Source organism: Homo sapiens, chromosome 8 (genome assembly GCF_000001405.40).
Source record: "Homo sapiens chromosome 8, GRCh38.p14 Primary Assembly".
NCBI lineage: Eukaryota > Metazoa > Chordata > Mammalia > Primates > Hominidae > Homo > Homo sapiens.
Window position 1 is genome coordinate 50,217,644 of NC_000008.11, and position 19,681 is coordinate 50,237,324.

The 19,681-nt window shown below is 33.7% G+C and overlaps 1 protein-coding gene and 2 long non-coding RNA genes across 23 annotated transcripts in view; 1 reads left to right on the plus strand and 2 right to left on the minus strand.

Annotated features, from left to right (window-relative positions):
• Nucleotides 1-19,681, plus strand: part of SNTG1 (syntrophin gamma 1) — an 886,897-nt gene that overhangs the window by 307,848 nt on the left and 559,368 nt on the right. The gene's annotated exons all lie outside the window — the stretch shown is intronic.
• On the minus strand, nucleotides 248-11,106 carry LOC124900619 (uncharacterized). The gene is made up of 3 exons (XR_928863.3): nucleotides 11,021-11,106; nucleotides 9,452-9,565; nucleotides 248-329 (listed from the first exon to the last, which is right to left on the minus strand). It is a non-coding gene; the product is annotated as an uncharacterized LOC124900619 (long non-coding RNA).
• On the minus strand, nucleotides 11,095-19,583 carry LOC105375829 (uncharacterized). The gene is made up of 3 exons (XR_001745896.2): nucleotides 19,496-19,583; nucleotides 16,922-16,992; nucleotides 11,095-11,180 (listed from the first exon to the last, which is right to left on the minus strand). It is a non-coding gene; the product is annotated as an uncharacterized LOC105375829 (long non-coding RNA).

Below are 19,681 nucleotides of genomic sequence, written 5' to 3' on the forward strand. Positions count from 1 at the left end.
TTCCATGGTTCCATTACATTCTACAAACCACTGTTTTCTCATTTAGCAGAATATACTCTTCATAACAACTCTTCAAATTATGAGGCTAAGAAAGCCTACCATATTTTCTAGTAGGCCAGAGAGTGATGGAGAAGTTATTCAAAATCTGTTGTTCTGATCTCCAGCTCTGTGCTGTTTCCACACCACTGAGCAAAAGCAGAGTCTGTGGATGTGAGGATGAGGAGGAAAGACTGTAGACTGCATTCATTCTGAGCCATGTAAAAGAAGAAGGCATATCAGCTCAGTTCAAAGACTTTCATTCCTGGTTCTTAATGTTGTTAAGTTCTGCTCTGTGAATAAAATCAAATATAACAAAAATACCAAGTCACCTCAGACCTTGAAATGAAATTTCATGGCTTCAAAAATACTAAGCCATTATTTCAGCACGAGCTAATTCCTTGCCATGACATTAGGGCATAAGGCTTTTTCATAATAGTTAAAATTTTCACTCTCAATGTAAATGTTATTTTTGAAAATGAGACTAATGTTTTATGTTGCCTAACACTGGCAATATACTTACCAACTATCTCTGAGGAATGCACTGAGCATAGGGATGGTTGTAGAAAATTACACAATTGAGGCCTGAATGCACGTTTAGCACTGTGGGTTACGCTTTGCTTCCAACAACTCCTCAATCATTGTAAAAATTTAAGAAAAAAAATTTAAATGCTCACAAAGAAAAGAATTCATTCACATATCCACTATATCAGAGTTCAGCATTTATACTCATTGTGTGGTTGTTATATATTTAAGTTTATTTAGTATTCATAAATGCCTGCATTATATGTTCTTAGAGAAATAAAAATAACTATTTTTCTTAAAGGCATACAAACTTATAAAGTGCTTAATAATCAGTATTACATTTTTTCTATGTTTTTTTTTCAGTATAGTGAATGGTTTTATTTAAAAAATAATGTTATGTTTAAAGTAATACTTTCTCATGATAATATGTTATGGTTATTGAAATTTTTAAAATACAGGACCACAGATACTAATATAAAGTATTAGTAATATAAAGTGCAGCTATAATCAGACATCTAATTCCAGCAATGTAGAAGACTACTTGCCCAAATAGCCTTTGTAATACATTACAAATTAAAGAATAAAAAACTGGATACAAATATCCTCTTTATGTAGAGTTGAGTTGACAACAAAGTAAGAGGAATCCAGAGAGGCAGAAACAATGAATTGGACAGGCACTGAAGCCACAGAGCCAAGGGCTCACAGCCTCCTTGATCCTCCATAGCCCAAGTATCTGCATTTAAATGGGCTTCACGAGGAAAAGAAGAGAAAGTCTAGGTCCTGAGAAGGTGGGAAATCAGTATGGGAATCTCCCACAGAAACAATTTCCAAAAGGTGATTTTCTCTAGGAAAGAACTAACTATGAAGAGAAGAAAGTAACCAAAGAATGAGACAGTGGGGAAACTTTGATGTTTTGGCTTATATGGAAGGAGGAAAACAGCTTTAATAAAGCATTTCCAATGACAGGCTGGTTACAAGGCATCTTTTAGACTAGAATCCACTCTACTTCTAATGCCAAAAGACCTAAGCCCAGCATTAACTTTAAGAAGCTCCCACTGGTGACCCTTCCTAGTTATCTGACAGAAAGAAGGCCTAAATCAAAACCTCAAAAATCCCACAGATCAAATTTTATTGATTGTGATATCACAATTTTCAAAGTCACATGAAATAAGAAGATATAAGCCATTGTGAGCAAATTTTAGAAGAAACAATAAACACCAGTGTTTTTGTCTGTTCTCATATCGCTACAGAGAACTACCTGAGACTGGGTAACTTATAATGAAAAGAGGTTTAATTGGCTCATGGTTCCACAGGTTGTACAGGAAGCATGGCTGGGGAGGCCTCAGGAAACTTACAATCATATGGGAAGTCAAAGGGGAATCAGACATGTGCTATATAGCTGGAGCAGGAGGAAGAGAGAGAAACGGGATGTGCTACACAGTTTTAAACAACAAAATCTCATGAGAACTCACTCACTATCATGAGAACAGCAAGCAGAAAATCTGTCGCCATGATCCAATTACCTCCCACCACTCATCCTCCAACATTGGGGGTTGCAATTTGGCATGAGATTTGGGTGGGGACACAAATCCAAACCACATCAACCAATAACAAAGTAGCAAAGATTCCAGATGGAATAACAGATTTTAAAAGGCAAATGATAGAAAAGTAGTGAACTTTTATTAGTCTAAGACGAAACAGACTTTAAGACCAAAAGCTTTTCTTGAGATCAAACATGAAAGTTTAATTCACCAGGAGGGGAGAACAATCCTAAACTTACCTAAACATAGTAACATAACTTTAAAATATATAAAGTCAAAAATGAAAGAACTACAAGGAGAAATTGACATATCTGGAATTAACTTTAAGAAGGTCCCATTGGTGACCCTTCTCAGGTGTATGACAAAAAGAAGGGCCAAATCAAAGCCTCAAAAAATCCCACAGATAAAATTTTATTGATCATGATACCACAATCCTCAACATCACATGAAATATGAAGATAGAAGCCATCTTTGGGGTAATTTCAATGCAGCTGTCTTTAATGTCGATAGGAAGTGTGTGAAAGATTTGAACCACACAAACTGCAAGGTGAAACTGCAGGTTATATAGATATATCTGCACTGAAGCACTGTCTACTTCCTGAAAAATATATTGTTCTGAAAAATATATTCAAAAGATAACAGGGATTATGAGAACAAAGAGTTGTGGAAGACAGTACAAAACTATGCAGCTTTGTAACAAGAGGACCAAACAGAAAGGAATACATGAGACTGGAGGGGATAATCTGTCTGCCCATCCAGATATATTCATGTGAGCACATGCTGCCACAGTGGTTGCTAAAAATGCTCCAGAACAATAGAGTGGAAATGTATTGAAGTTTTGTTGGAGCAGAGCTGGTGGGTACAAACTGGCAGTTGGGAGGAGCATGAGCCAGCGTGCTCCTTTAGGGTGTCTGTGGAGGCAGGGCAATGGAGCAAGAGTGCAGCACAGTAGGAAGAGGGTTGTGGCCCTGAGAAGGACCCTGGCACTTGTTTCTAGTTTTCTTAAGATACATGCAGTAGTGCTTTTCCTGCCAGCATGGCAGCAACATTGAAGACTTCTATTTCCCAATAAAGATATGATCCTACCATCATTCTCTCCCCTCTTGTCTAAAATATTTGTGGATGAACCAACACAGTGTTTACTCCATTCTAAACTAACTCCCTTATTAACAAATCACCCATGAGTGAATTCACCTTACAGAAACTCACACTGTGGCTGCAGATAGAACACTGCACTAAGCAGGTGGAGAAAATGTCTTCCTTTCAAATCCAGTCCATAAAACCAGTACTGGTATTACATATATTATATTATCTGATGACAGCACAATTGAGTTAATAATTGGTAACAAAAGAAATCATTAAAACTCCTATATATTTGGAAATTAAAGGAAATCTTCTAAGTAACTCATGGTTTAAAGAGGAAATCATAATGGGAAGACATATAAATGTACACAATATGGTAATATAGAAAATATTAAATATAAAAATTTGTATGACAGAGAGAAATGTATAGCCTTTAATGTAATGTGGGAAATGCAAGACTTAAAATTAGTTTGAATGTTAAGGAATGTGCAGTAGAGGGAAAAAATAGTTACAATGGGGAATTAAAATGGAAAACAAAGGCACAAGGGAGGGTTCAACAAAGCTGAAGTGTTAAAAAATATAAGATCAACGTGGCAAAATATTAATAAAAAATAGAATATTAATAAAAAATAGAGATGATAATGCAAGGACTTTTACATCTGCTACCCCTCCCAACACACACATACACACACACACACACACACACACACACACACACACACAAGACTGACAGATAATAAAACCAAATACTTAAAGGCAATGAGAGAGTTAGTAATATAGGATGGATCTGGTAGAAGATTGCAGTATATCCGTGTATGCTGTATGTGTGACCCATTTAAAAAATATATTTTTTATTGGACACATAATAGTTGCATTTATTTATGGAGTACATAGTCATGTTTTGATATGTACAATGTATAGTGGGCATATCAGGGAAATTAGCATATCCATTTAACAATGCAACAGGTTCCTTTTGCCAGCTGCCCAGATAGAGCCAATTTATCAAGACAGGGGAATTGCAATAGAGACAGTGTTTAATACATGTATAGCCAGCTAAATGGGAGACCAGAGTTTTATTATTACACAAATCAGCCTTCCCAGAAATTCAGAAGCTAGGGTTTTTCAAAGATAGTTTGGTAGGTAGGGTGCTAGGATATGGATGTTTCTAATTGGTAGGAGATGCAATCTTAGGGGTGCAGAAAATGGCCTTCATGCACTGAGGCCACTTCTGGGTGAGGGTCACAGGAGTGGTTGAGTGGAGAGTTGCAGGCAAAAGCCTGCAAAAGCCAGAAAAGACATATCAAAAGGCCAGTCTTGGGTTCTAGACTAGTAAATTGGAGAAGTTGCAAACCTTGTGACCTCTGGAATAATGGCTGGTAATCATTTAACTACACCTACAACTTATAGAAACTCATCCTCCTAACCTGGTGGTCTTTCATTAGATTTATAAAGGCAGTATAGCCTGAGGGAGGGGCTACTATCATTTAAACTATAAACTAAATTTCTCCTAGTTAGATTGGCCCAAGTCCAGGAATGACCAAGGGTAGTTTGGAGGTTAAAGGCACATCTCTTTCACTGTCATAATTTTCTGACTATTATAATTTTTTACAAAGATGGTTTCCCCATCATGTCAAACATATCATTTTTTGGTGTGTTGGGAATCATTGAATTCTTCTTTTCTAACTCTCTGAAAATATATGATAAAGTGTTTTCAACTAGAGTCATCCTCCAGTGCTACAGAATACTAGAACATATACCTCCTTTTTCCTTAATTGTCCAGTTTGGGAGGATTTTGACCACTGACTTCAAGGCATTGTGGGGACATTAGTTTGCCGCTAGGGATTGCCAAGGTAGTGACCAGCCACTGGCTAAGAGTAAGGATTCACTTGATGCAGACAGACCCTCAGCGGGGATTGCTTCTCAGCCTCACAGCATCTCCAGCACCAAAATTAATTTAGAATGGCCCGGGGAACTAGTGACCACAGTTGCAGACAGAAGCAAATGTAGATGCTCTCTAGAGACATATAACACCATCTGAGGCTTTAATTTATTTCTGTAAAAACTCTTTTCAAATGCACTCTTCAACCCACAATAAAAATAAATCACTCATAGGAGAAGGGGCAAGAAAACATGCCTGAAAATCAGAGAAAGAATAGTCAATAGAAATAGACCAACAGAGGCTTCAGGAATTGGAGTTATTAGAAAGACCCTGAAAACCTTGGTACCAATAAATTTGAAAATTTATATAAATTTAAAATTTTCCAGGACCAACTCAAAATAAAACAAGCAATCTAAGTATTAAAGAATTCAAAGATATATCAAGGGGAGGGTGATGAGGAATGACTGCTAATGGGTATAGGTTTATTTCTGGGGTAACAGAACTGTTCTGGAATTAGATATCGAGGAAAAGTACACAACCTTGTAAATACATTAAAAACAATGAATTCTACACTAAAAGAACAAAAATACTGGACTTTTCTCCACAAGCAGAATAGCTTAGTATGCTCATTTTATATGGCTAGTACAACTGATCTCCTAATAGAAAAGGAATATAAAAATATGCAATTTTAATCAAATACACAGATGCAAAGTAATTAAATTAAAAATTAGCAACAGGAATCAATGATATATAAAAATATCATAGGAAATAACTAGTATTGGAAATAACTATTTATCCTTATTGAGTTTATTATGCAAAAGGAAGGTATTTTCAACATTAGAAAAATATGTCCTTAAGAAATTTAAGGAGAAATACGACCATCTCATTAAATGCAAAAGATAATAATTTGATGAAATGCATCACTTAGGAAACAAAAAGAAAAGAGCAATAAAATACAGAAAATATATTTTTTCAAAAGGCTGTCTCTACATCAATGGGAACTCTTCAAATCAATAAAGTGCATTTTCAAAAGAGCTACAGCAAATTTATTGAATAGAGAAGAATAATTTTTTTAAATCCCTGTAAATTCAGGAACATGACAAAAATGTTTAATTTCTTTTCAGTGTAGAACAGATGCATTAGCTACACAAAAATAGTGATAACCCTAAAGTATAAGGAATATAAGAAAGGAATAAAATACTGTCACTCTTTAAATGAGACATTCATCTATGTAGAAAATCCAGAAGAATCCCAAACTGATAGATTTAATAAAAAAATAGTAAAATTGCCAGATACAAATCTATTCAATTTAGTGAGTGACACTTTTATACAGCAGCATTATCAAAAAAACAAAAAATATTTAAAATGCCTAAATATTATATAATATGCATAATAATGAATAATGTAAGACATATAAGACCTACATATAAAAACATATAAAGTGAATAATGTACATTACAGAAAACTTAAATAAGTTGGGAGACATATCACATTAGTGGAAATATTACTATGCTAAAGATATAAATTCTGCTTACATTGTTTTAAATATTTAAAACAAGGGAAAAGTGACATAGATTACACACACAGATTTTTCAAGCACTATCATACTTAGACCTAATCAGGGGACATCCCTCCATGGGTCCCAGGCTTTGTAGATCCCACAGATCACAAACAAACAGACATGCTTTTACTAAAGAGCATATGGCTAATCTGTCATGCAGGATCCAGAACTCAGTTTTCAAAGGAAGACTCAGGACCCTAGGCCTCAAGGATGTGACTAACACCATTCACACCTAAGTAAACCTTTCTTCATATCTATTCTCCTCTATCCGTAAAACAAGATATGTTTTTCCTGAATGCAGTTGTAAACCAAAAGTAAAATTCTAAGCACCCCCCAACCAACTGACTGGACTCCTCTCAGCTAAGGGCATTTTAAGGTAAAGCTGAAGTTCTAGTTCAGGCCAAGATGGGAATGGATGGTTGAACATGCCTTGTTATACTTTCCTCCCTTTGGAATCCAGGCATAGCTGACCAGCATTAACATTGAAACAGAGACCTTAAGACTAACAAAGCAGACTCTGTAGCAATAAAATGCCAACATGACAGATAGCAGGCCCAAAATATATTGCCCTGATGTATTTTAAAATGTTCCTGCAAGGCTGTCTCTTCTGGGGAAAATCTACATTCTAGAGAGAATCCCCTTCTCTTTTCAGGCTTTTTCCTGATAAAGGAAAGAATTAACTAAAGAGTCTGGTGTATTTTTTTATTTTTATTTTTTTTTGAGATGGAGTCTCACTCTGTTGCCCAGGCTGGAGTGCAGTGGCGTGATCTCCACTCACTGCAAGCTCTGCCTCCTGGGTTCACGCCATTCCCCTGCCTCAGCCTCCTGAGTAGCTGGGACTACAGGCGCCCACCACCACGTCCAGCTAATTTTTTGTATTTTTTTAGTAGAGACGGGGTTTCACCATGTTAGACAGGATGGTCTTGATCTCCTGACCTCGTGATCCACCCACCTCAGCCTCCCAAAGTGCGTATTTTTAAGTCTGATAAGAAACATTTTAAATCTGTTCTCTCTGAAGCAGGCTACCTGGAGGCATCATCTGCATAATAAGAACCTTGGTCTCCACAACCCCTTATCTTAACCCAGACACTTATTTCGGTTGGTTCCAGGTCTTTAGATAAACTATAAATGCTTTCAACCATTGTCAGTCAGAAAATGTTTGAATTCACCTATGACCTGGAAGTGCCACACACCCCACCACCTTGAGTTGTCCCCTGCCTTTTCAGACAGAACCAATGCTCATCTTACATGTATTGATTGGTGTTTTTTGTCTCCCTAAAATGTATAGAACCAAGCTATTGCCCAATCACCTTGGGCACATGTTCACAGGATCTCCTAACTCATATTTGGCTCAGAATAAATCTCTTCAAATATTTTACAGAGCTTGAGTCTTTTGCCAACGCCATTAATATTTCTTCTTTTAACTATATTAAAAATAGGGAGGATTTTGAATATTTAAGTGCTTGAGTAAGAGAAAAGACAAATTAAGTAACACATTAGACACTTGCCAATTCATGAATGGAATACGTTTTTAGATAACAAAGTATTCTTAATCAGTAGAGCCAAATATCCATTTTGTTTACTTTATGTTGTAGCTTGTGGTTCAAGAAGTATTGACAATTGGCATAGTATTTGCAACAGTTATCACTGGCAGCTGAAAATATTTTGCAGTATTAAAAATTTACACTATTGTTAATTATGTACACATATAGGACTAGATATGCATACATACAACATGATACCGATTCTTTATATTGACAACAAAATGAACACAATAGAATTGCAAATAGTGTTATTTTTATTAAAAATACTATAAAAGTTTATTTTCAAAAAGTTAAATTCTGGTTTTTATTTTTATTGAAGTAATTTTATGCAAATGTTATATATATTGAGGACTAAGCTCTGATTTTTTTATCTTACCCAAATTCCTATCTAAGGGGTCTGGGGAGTCATCCCCTACAAACCATAAATTCTCATCAGATGGGTTTTATTTAACCCTATATATCATGACTCACTTTCCAATCTGACTCTGGCATAACACTATGAGACAAGGAAGAAAATCAAAATATTTGATTTTTGCATTTCCCTGATGTCCTTTGTGGGGGAAACTCTGTATCTGTAAAGAATCTCTATTAAGATAGCTAGTTTTTTTTCTTCCAGGCCCTCCCAGTCCTAAAGAGATTAACTAAAAGTCTAGAAACTTTTAAAGATCTGAATAGGAAACATTTGCCATCTGTTGTCTCTAAGGGCAGCCACTATAAGACTTCAAAAGATCCGTGGTCTCCACAATCTTTTATCTTAACCTGAACATTTCCTTTCTATCAATCCCAGGTCTTTAGACAAACTCAACCAATTGTCAACCAGAAAACGTTTAAATTTACCTATAATCTGGAAGCCCCCCCACCCACTTTGGGTTGTCACCTTTCTGAACCAAATCAATGTGTTTCTTAAGTGTATTTGGTTGATGTCTCATGCCTCTCTGAAATATATGAAACCAAGTTGTAACCCGACCACCCTGGGCACATTGTAGTCAGGCCCTCCTGAGTGTTGTGTCATGGACCATGGTCACTCTTATTTGGCTCAAAATAAATATTTTCAAATATTTTACAGAGTTTGACTCTTTTCATCAACAGTATATTCACTATAACACTTCATTTAATTTGAATAGATGGTTCTGAATATTTACCAAAAAAATTTTAAAAACAGATTTGAGGGGAAAGTTTGATTTCAGCACTAATGGGTAAAGAATTTGGATGTTGTTACTCTAGTTTTTACAACAAAATACATCTGGACACACTGAAAATCAATGATTTTTTTTGTACTTACCAATAACCGAAGCTGCCAGTTTTATCATCAATATAAAACTCTGGGGAGACAGGCCAATTTGGAGATCGACAGTCAAGATTGCTTCTGTGGAGAAGAAGGCCCTGAACTACAGACCTATAGAAAAAATGAATTGTTGATGTTCTCAAATTGGTGAAGGCAAAGTGTAGAATAGCATAAGAATGAGAAACTCATGGTGCTGCAGTTTTAGAGGGGGTTTCACTTCCAGGAACTGACCAGATTCTGATGGTAAAATCCAAGAAAGAGAAGAGGGAGGGGAAGAGTAATCATTGTGAAACAGGTCTTGAGAAATCTTCATTAGAAAACCTACTCTACAAGGCAAAAGACCACTACAGTTTTGTATCAAATGCAGAATGGTATTTCTCTCACTCTAGTTCCCTTTAGCTTTCCTGCATCACCTAAGAGAATATCTCTGGAGAAAAACTTGTGAAGGTCCCAGACCACACACAGAGGCCCATTTGGAAGAAAAAAATTTCATCATCAGGTTGTAGAATGATTCTCCTCTCTGACCCTTCCCACTGCATCAACGCAGCTCCAGTAAAATATCAGTAGCTAGAGTTGAAAGAGCTATAAGACACAGATTTTCCCTGAAGACAAGTCATCGGAGAAGCCAAAAGTCAAGGGAACAAGGATAAGAAAAAAAAAAGGAAACTATGAGAGCCTTTGACAACCATAACTGAGAAAGTATTTATAAAGCCCAATTCCTAGCCAAATTAACATATATCCCAAAAGGTAAGGTCTATTTCATCTTTAGTTTATACTCAATGCAATACGTCCAGCCTCCAAAAAAAATGACATAAACAACAACCAAAAAAAAAAAAAAGAAACACCAACACCATTATAAGCAAAACACAGTCTGAAGAGACAAATCAAAAATTAAAATAAGAATCAGATTATGACACAGATTTTGATATTATCAAATGGAGAATTTAAAAATAGTTATGTTTAATATGGAACATAACAGAAAAATATAGACAGAAGGTTAATGAAAGAAGAGTGATAGAAACTCTAAAAATGAATTAAAAGAAAATGTAAGAATCAAGAACATTGTAAGAGAAATGAAGAATATCTTTGCTGTTCTAATAAGTAGACTTGACATAGCCAAGGAAAAAAATATTACGAAACTAAAATATAAAAAGCAAAAGGAATAAAAGAAACAAAACATCTAAGAAATGTGAGACCATTTCAAAACTATTACATACAGGTATGTGGACTACCTTACAAAGAAAAAAAGATGATCAGAAGGAATATTTGAAATTATGATAGCTAAGAACTTTCCCAAATTAGTGACAGATACCAAACCACAGATCCAAAATGAACAATCAATGCCAAACAAAATACTAAAATTACCTATCTATTCCTAGGAATATTTAAATTGTTGAAAACAATGGTGAAGAGAAAATCTTGAAATAAACCAGAGGAAAAAACTTCTTAAATATGGAAGAACAAGAATAAAAATTACAAGAGACTTCTCATCAAAAACCAACCCAGCCAGAAAAGAGTGGAGTGAAATGTTTAAAATATTAAAGGAAAAAAATTACACTGACTTACCGTTCTCTATGTTCTGCAAAACTATCCTTTGAACATGTAGAATAAATAAAGACCTTCTTAGACAAAAACTGAGGGAATTCATCACTAGAAAATATGACTTGTGAGAAATGTTAAAAGTTCTTCAGGGAGAAGGAAAAGAATATAACTCACAAATGCATACCTGTAGAAAGAAAGGGAGAGCACAGGAGGGGGAATACATTAAGATATATTTAATGTGTTATTTGTTTAATTCTTGGCTGAAAATATAGCTGTTTAAAATAATAATAGTAACAATTATAAAGTGATTATATCATATAGATAAGTTAAATGAATGATTTCAATGTCATAAGAGGTGAGAGAGTAATTGGGAGTACTCTGTTGCAAGGTCCCTATACAAGTAAAGTGGTTTATTGTTATTTGATTGTGGATTTAGATCAGCTAAAATGATATATTATGAACTCTAGGGCAATTACTATTTCTAAAAATGTATGGTGGATATGCTTGGAAAGGAGATAAAATGCTCAATTAAAACCCACTAAGACAGAAAAAGAGGGGAAAATAAACAAAAGCAAATGCAACACATTGAAAATGCTTAAGTATGGTAAATATTAATTCAATAATTATTTCAAGTGGACATAATCTTAAACATACCAATTAAAAGACAGTGAGCTTCAGAGTATACCCAAGTGTATGCTGATACACTATCAGAAATCCACTTTAAATATAAAGAATTAAATAGTTTAACTAAAAGGATAGAGAAAGATATACTTTACTAACACAAATTAAAAAAATAAAAATAAAAAGACTGGGTTAGCTATATAAATTTCAAGGAAAAAAACCCAGACTTCCAAACAAGGAAGATTATCAGGAATAATGATCCGTTTTACAAAGCAATTTAACAATCCTTAACATGTACACAATTAAAAAGAGAGTCAAAATTTGTGAGGCAAAACTTGATAGTTGTTAAAGATAAAAATATGCAAATGTAAGAGTGTAGTTTGAGACTTTATCACCCTTTTTTTTAAGTAACATTGATTAAGCAGGCAAAAATTTCATTTAGTTGACTGAATAGCACTGTAAATCAGTTAGTTCTAATGGCTTTTTATAGAATTATCCATCCAGTGGCAAGAGAATTCAAATTCTCCTCCAGCTTATGTCGAACATTCATGAAGAAAAATTACGTTTTGGGCAACAAATACACATTAACATATTTAAAATAACAGAAATCATGCAAAGTCTATTCTCAGACTTCAATAGAGTTATGCCAAAACTCAATAACACAGTGAGATGTGGGACATCCTCCAATATTTGACGATTAAACAACACACTTCTAAATAACACATAAGCCAAAGTAGATGACTCAAGACTAACTTAAAAATATTTTGACTTAAATGAAAATGACAATGCAACTTATCAAAATGTGAGATGTGGCAAATGCAATGTCTAGAGGGTGATTTACAGCATTAACAACAAAATTAGAGAAGAAGATCTGAAACAATAATGTCAGCTTCCAACTTAAAAACTAGAGAAAAAGCAATTTTAGCCTAAAGCAACAGAAGAAAAGTAAAGCAGAAATCAATGAAACTGAAAACAGAAAATAATAGAGGAAATCAATGAAACAAAAATCTGTTTCTTGGAAAAGATTAATGAAACTGACAAATCTCTAAAAAGATTGAGAAAGAAAACAGAGAAGACATAAATTACCAATATTACTATGAAAGAAGGGACGTCACTACAGACCCTGGAAAAACCAAAAGTACATTAAGGGAGTAATACTATATGTATAGCTTTACACATAAATGAACAAGTTAGATAATATGGATCAATTACATTAAAAGGACAAACTACCTCAACTTGTCCAATATCAAATACATAATTTCGGAGCTTTATTACTATTAAGGAAATAGAAAGTATAACATAAAAACTTCTCAAAAAAGCAATCTATAGGACAAGATCGTTTCATTTGCAAATTCTACCCAACATTTAAGAGCAAAAATACAATGGGAAAATGACAGTCTCTTTAATAAACGTTGTAGAGAAAACAGGATATCCACATGCAAAAAATCAGCCTGGACCCTTATCTCAGACCATGTATACAATCCAACTCAAAAGTATTAGAGACTCAAACATAAGACTGGACACTGTAAAACTACTAGAAGAAAATAGGGGGAAAACTATCTAACATTGGTTTGGGTAACTTTTTTTTTTTTAATTTGACTCAAAAACCACAGTCAACAAAAGCAAAAATAGATAAGTAATGTTACATCACAGTAAAAAGCTTCTGCACATCAAAGGAAACAAGAGTGAACAGTCAACCTTCAGACTGAGAGAAAATATTTGCAAGCCATACATCTGATAAGGGATTAATATCCAAAATACATAAGGAACTCAACTAACTCTAAAGAAATAAAACAAATAATCTGATTAAGAAATGGGCAAGGAAACTGAATTTCTCCAAAGATACAAATAGCTAACAGATACATCAAAAAAATTCAACATCACTAACCACTGGGGAGATGCAAACTAAAACCACTATGAGATATGGCCTTATTTGTATTAGAATGGTTGTTATTAAAGAAAAGACAAAAGACAAGCATTGGCACAGATATGAGAAAAGGGAACCCTCATACACTAATGGTGGGAATGTAAATTAGTACAACTATTATGGAAACCAATATGGTGGTTCCTCAAAAAACTAAAAAGAGAGTTACCATATGATCCAGCAATCCCACTTCTGGGTATTTATCAAAAAGATTTGAAATCAATATGTCAAATAGATGTCTGAACTCATATGTTCATTCCAGCACTGTTCAAAATAACCAAGTGATTGAATAAACCTAAGTGTCTATGAAGGGATGAATGAATAAAGAAAATGTAATATATATGGAAAATGCAACACTATTTAGCCTTAAAAATGAAGTTCTGTTGTTTGTGACAATATAGATGGAGAATATTATGCTAAATTAAATAAGCCAGAAACAAGAAAGACTGATTCCAAATGTTCTCACTTATATATGAAATCTAAAAAGAAACGTTTAGAATAGAATAGAAAGGTGGTTACAAAGGCTGGGGACTGGGGAGAATGGGAAGATGATAATCAAAGGGTACAAAGCCTCAGTTAGAAGGAATACATTTGCTTTATTTTTTAAATCAGTAGCACAATATGCTGAATATTGTTAATAACTGAGTACTGTACATTTCAGTTTTGCTGAGAGTAAATTTCTCATGGTCTCACCATCAAAATAGTTGCATATTTGAAGTGATAAATATGTTATTTAGCTTAATTTAGTCATTTTACATTATATTGAACTGTCATGCCACTTTGTACTCCATAAATATATTCAACTATAATTTATCAAAATATTAAAAAATGAAATGAACACCAATTCTATGCAACGTCTTCCTGAAAATGAAAGAAGATAAAACACTTACCAATTCATTTTAATGAAGCTAGCACTACTGTTCCCAAATTAGCAAAGGCAGAATCAAAACAAGAAAAGGCAAAAATAAATAAACTACAGAGCAATATGTCTTAAAAATATAGATGTAAAACTGTTTTTAAAAATTTTGTAAAGTAGAATTAAGCAACATATATAGGAAATATACACTGTGACCAAGGGGTCTTATTCCAGGCAAGCAGGCTGTTTCAACATTTTAAAAGCAATTAGTAAAATCCATTATTTTATCAGGCTAAAAGGAAAAATCACCTGAATAATAATTTGACAATTCAGCACACATTTATGATTAATAAATACTCTCAGAAAATTAATAGTAGGAAAGAACATTCTGAACTTAATAAAGAGGATCTATAAAGAAAAATAGAAAAACTACAGCTAACTTCATACATAATGGTGAAAGAGTGAATCTTTACCCTTGAGTTTAGACACAAGGCAAGATGTTTACTCTTTTCAATTTTTGTGAACATAGTCCTGACATTTTTAAACAGTGCGAGATGACTTGGAAACATATGCAAAAGAGTCTGAAGGAAGAAATAATATTGTCCCTATTTGTAGATCACATGATCACCTACATAGAAAATCTTAAGGAATATAAAAACTAACTTCCTAGAACTAATAAGTAAGTTCAGCAAAAACCACAAAAATACAGATCAACATTCAAAAATTGCTTTGTATTTCTATATACTAGCAATACATTGAAACTAAAAATAAAATTCCAATATTACTTACAATTGCTCAAAAAATGATAAAATGCTGTGATATAAACTTAAAACACCTACAGGACTTTAACCCGAAAACTCAATGATTCTGGTGAAATAAATAAAAATGTAAATAAAGTCATACTGTGTTCATGGATTATAACACTCAAAATAGTGAAGATGTCATTGTCAAATTGATACATAAGTTTAATGAAATTCCTGCCAAAATTTCAACTTGATATGTTGTGGATATAGACGTTATTGTTGTAAAATTTATAGAATCAAGCCAAAAAAATGTAATAGCAAAAACAATTTTGAAAAGAAAGAATAAAGCAGGATGGATCATTATACCTGATTTTCAAGATAACAGTACACAGTTATCAAACTGTGTGGTATCAGCAGAGGGATAGATACATAGATCAATGGACCGGAAGAGATGGCCCTAAAATAGTCACATACAAAAATGACCAAGTGATTTTTGGCAAATATTCAAAAGCAATTAAATGGAGGAAGGATAGTCTTTTCAAAAAATGGTGCTGGTAACAATTGGATATCAACAGGTAAAAGTAAACCTTGATTTAAACTTCACTCCTCATGTAAAAGAAAAAAATAAAGAAAACTTCAAAATGGAACATAAATTTAATTTCAGCCTTTAACTCTATAAAACTTTGAGAATAAAATATAGGAGAAAATACTAGGACCTAGAGTTTGGTTAAGACTTCTTAGACATGAACACCAGAAGCATGGTCCATCCAAAAACATCAATCAAAAATCAATTAAACACTAGCTTTGAAAATTCTGTTAAGAAGATGAAAGACAAGCCACAAGCTGGCAAAAAATAGCTTCAAACCACAAACCTGATAAAGAGCCCATATCTAGAATTTATAAAGAATTCTCAAAACTTCACTTTAAAAAAACCCACTAATTAGAAAATGGAAAAAAAAATGAAGACACATTTCACTAAAGAGGCTATATGGATGGCAAATAAGCACCTGATAGAATGTTAAACATCATTAAACTTTAAGGAAATGAAAATCATCCTAGCAATGTAATGTCCTACAATGTTAGGAGAGCTAAAGTAAAAGTTACTGATAACTCCAAATGCTGGTAAAGAGAAAGAGAAAACGGATCGCTCATATATTTTTGTAAGGAATATAAAGTCATAAAGCCACTCTGAAAAAAATGCTTTGGCATTTTTTAAAAATCAAACCAAACAGAAATTGACCATGTTAACCAGTGGTTGTATTCCTGGGCATTTATTCTAGAGACATAAAAATTCATGCTTACACAAGATCCATACACAATTATTCATACCAAATTCATTTGTAATAGCCAAAGACTGGAAATAATCAAATGTTTCTAAATAGTTGAATGATTAAGCAAACTTTTGTACCTCCATATCATGATATACTTTCATCAGTAAAAAGGAATGAACTAATGATATATACCAAAGCTTGAACTGATATGAAGAACATTACACTGAAGGAAAAAGGCTGTGTCAAAAATTGCATACTGAGTGATGCCACTGAATGACAAAAGGATTAAAATGGCAAGCAGATTAGTGGATTGCGTGGGTTAGGGGTGTGTGTGTAACTATAAAGGAGTAGTACGAGGGAGTTGTGGTCATGGAATAGTTTTTCAAAATAGTTCTGTACCTTCATTTGGTGTTGGTAACCAGAATCTAAACATGCAATAAAATGGCATCACACTATACACACACTTTGTACCAATGTCAATTTTCTGCAATGATATTTTACCATACTTACATCAAGTGTAACCAATGGAAAAAACTGGGTGAAGGGTACAAGCAGCCTCTCTAGGCTGTCTTTAAAACTCCCTGTGAATGTATAAAAAGTCAAAATAACAAATTAAAATGTGTTACATCTATAAAACCATATCCTAAATATTGCTACTATTAGTATTTCTAAATATTATAAAAACCCAACAAGATAAATTTATATCACAAAGTGACTAAAAATGGCATCAAGCAATCACTTCAACTTTTAAAAATGGTCCTTTGGATCTCTTTTTCTGATAGATCATATCAGAATCTTTTTGCTAGAATAAGAAAAGGAGGACAACAGCTAACAGATAGAAGCTGTTGTTAGTAGATGTGGAAAAATTGATAAGATTGGCAGAAATAGTCATAGGATATTAGACAAAATCAGTGTGAGGAAAGATGCAGGTGCATTTGGAAATTTCAGTGAAAAGTTAAAACTGAAAGAATCAAGGTTAGCTTGGTTAGTTGACAAAAATTTAAGAAATGCTGACAAAATGTATACTGTTCTCTACTGGACATATATCAAAAGGAGTTGAAATCAGCATGCTGAACAGATATCAGCACTCTCATGTTCATTGCAGCTGTATCATAATAGCCAAGACATGGAAGTAACATACGTGACCACCAACAAATGAATGGATAAAGAAAATGTGGAATATGTGTATAGTGGAATACTACTCTGTCATAAAAGGAAGGGAATTCTGGCACTTGTGACAACAGGGATGAATGTGGAGGGCATTATGTTAAGTGAAATGAGCCAGGCACAGAAAGACAAACATAGCAAGATTTCACTCTTGTGGGACCCCAAAACCTTGTTCTCATAAATAGAATTAATCATTCTGTATATATCCTGCAAAACATCATGTTGTACATGACAAATACATACAATTTTATCTGTCAATTTAAAATAAAAACAAAAATTATGACATAAAAACAACAGGTTTTCTAAGAAAAAAATGTACAGTGATCTGTGAGTGAGTGGAAATCAATCAACACATTTTTGTTGGAAAAAATAAATATCAAGGTCAACTATGCTTATTATTGGAATAAACTTGCTGGTTTATGGGGAATGTGTTGGCTAGTGGATTACGTGTGAAGGAAAAAGCTCATTAGATAAGAAGTAAGTCAAAGATTTGAAAAACAATTATGATTCTCTTCTTTTTACTTTGTAGGTGTTCTTTCCCTAAATGCATGGGAAGACAATGGTATAAAAGTATTCAAAATAAATGTACTTCGGTTTTCTTATTTTCCTCCAAGTAAAATATGTTAGCAGTTTCTCACAAAAACTTCAGCCAAAAAAAAAGAAAAAAGAAAAAAATGTTTCTAGCATTATTTAAATTTAAAGTAGATAATATTCTACCCATAAAGAAATTCCCATAGTTAAATAATCTCTTCTTAGTGAGTTTATAAACCAACCTAAGATACTAAAGCCCAGTCATCTAAAAGAGCCGTGTAGTTGTCTCTGTCCCACAGTGTGAGAGATTTTTGAATGGCATTGGGAGTATGGAGGAGAGGTTGTGCCACTTTAAGATGGTACAATTTTATCTGGATGGTTTTTCCACATTACACAAATTTCCTTTTCCTAGTCTAACAAAGAGTGCCACTATAGATTATTATAATATGCTATATCTTGCTCAGGTGTACTGAATACAAAAGTAACACATTAAGAAGATAAAATTTTTTGAATAGAAAATAGACTATAACTGAACGTAGACAGACATTCCATAATATTTATTTCTAATTAGTGTCTTAGTGACTAAGTTCTTAAACCTTCTCCTTCCAAGGTATGATTCCGGTGCATCATTTTTATACATTTAAATTTTACAGGTGATAAAAAGCTCTGAATGTTTACAGAAACTTTTTAATTGTAAATTTTTTTTTTTTTTTTTTGAGACGCAGTCTCGCTCTTTAGGCCAGGCTGGAGTGCAGTGGCGCTATCCCGGCTCACTGCAAGCTCCACCTCCTGGGTTCACACCATTCTCCTGCCTCAGCCTCCCGAGTAGCTGGGACTACAGGCGCCCGCCACTGCGCCCGGCTAATTTTTTGTGTTTTTAGTAGAGACGGGGTTTCACCGTGTTAGCCAGGATGGTCTCGATCTCCTGACCTTGTGATCCGCCCGCCTTGGCCTCCAAAAGTGCTGGGATTACAGGTGTGAGCCACCGCGCCCGGCCAAAAATTTTTAAAACATATATTTATATATACAGATATAAAATAACCTAATGAACTGAAATGTAGACATTACACAGCTTCAAGAAATGTCAACATGTTGTCAGTTTTGTTTCTTCCTCCTGTACTTTCTCTGGGTTATTTGGAAGCAAATCCTAGATATCATAAAAACTTCCTTTAAGTAGTTCAGTGTGTGTATCTAAAAAATAACTTTTTGATTTACAGCAATACCACTATCACAAATATTGCTTGAATACAAACAAGTACTTAGTATTTGAATTTCCCCAATTGTTACAGAATATCTTGTAATAATTTATTAAAATCAGAAATCTAGTAAAGATTATAAATTAAGAATCACACATTAAATCTTTTTTTCCTCACTCTATTTTTTTACCTTTTTTTTTCTTGCAGTTCATTTCTTGAAAGAACCAGAAACTTTGTCTGATAGTGTTTCTCACAGTCAGGATTTGTTTGCAATTGCTTTTCTATGGAGTAGGTTAACATGATGCTCTACTCTCTACTGTCTATATATTTCCTGCTTATTTGTAATTGGAGCTCTAAGGTTGATAAAATTCGGGTT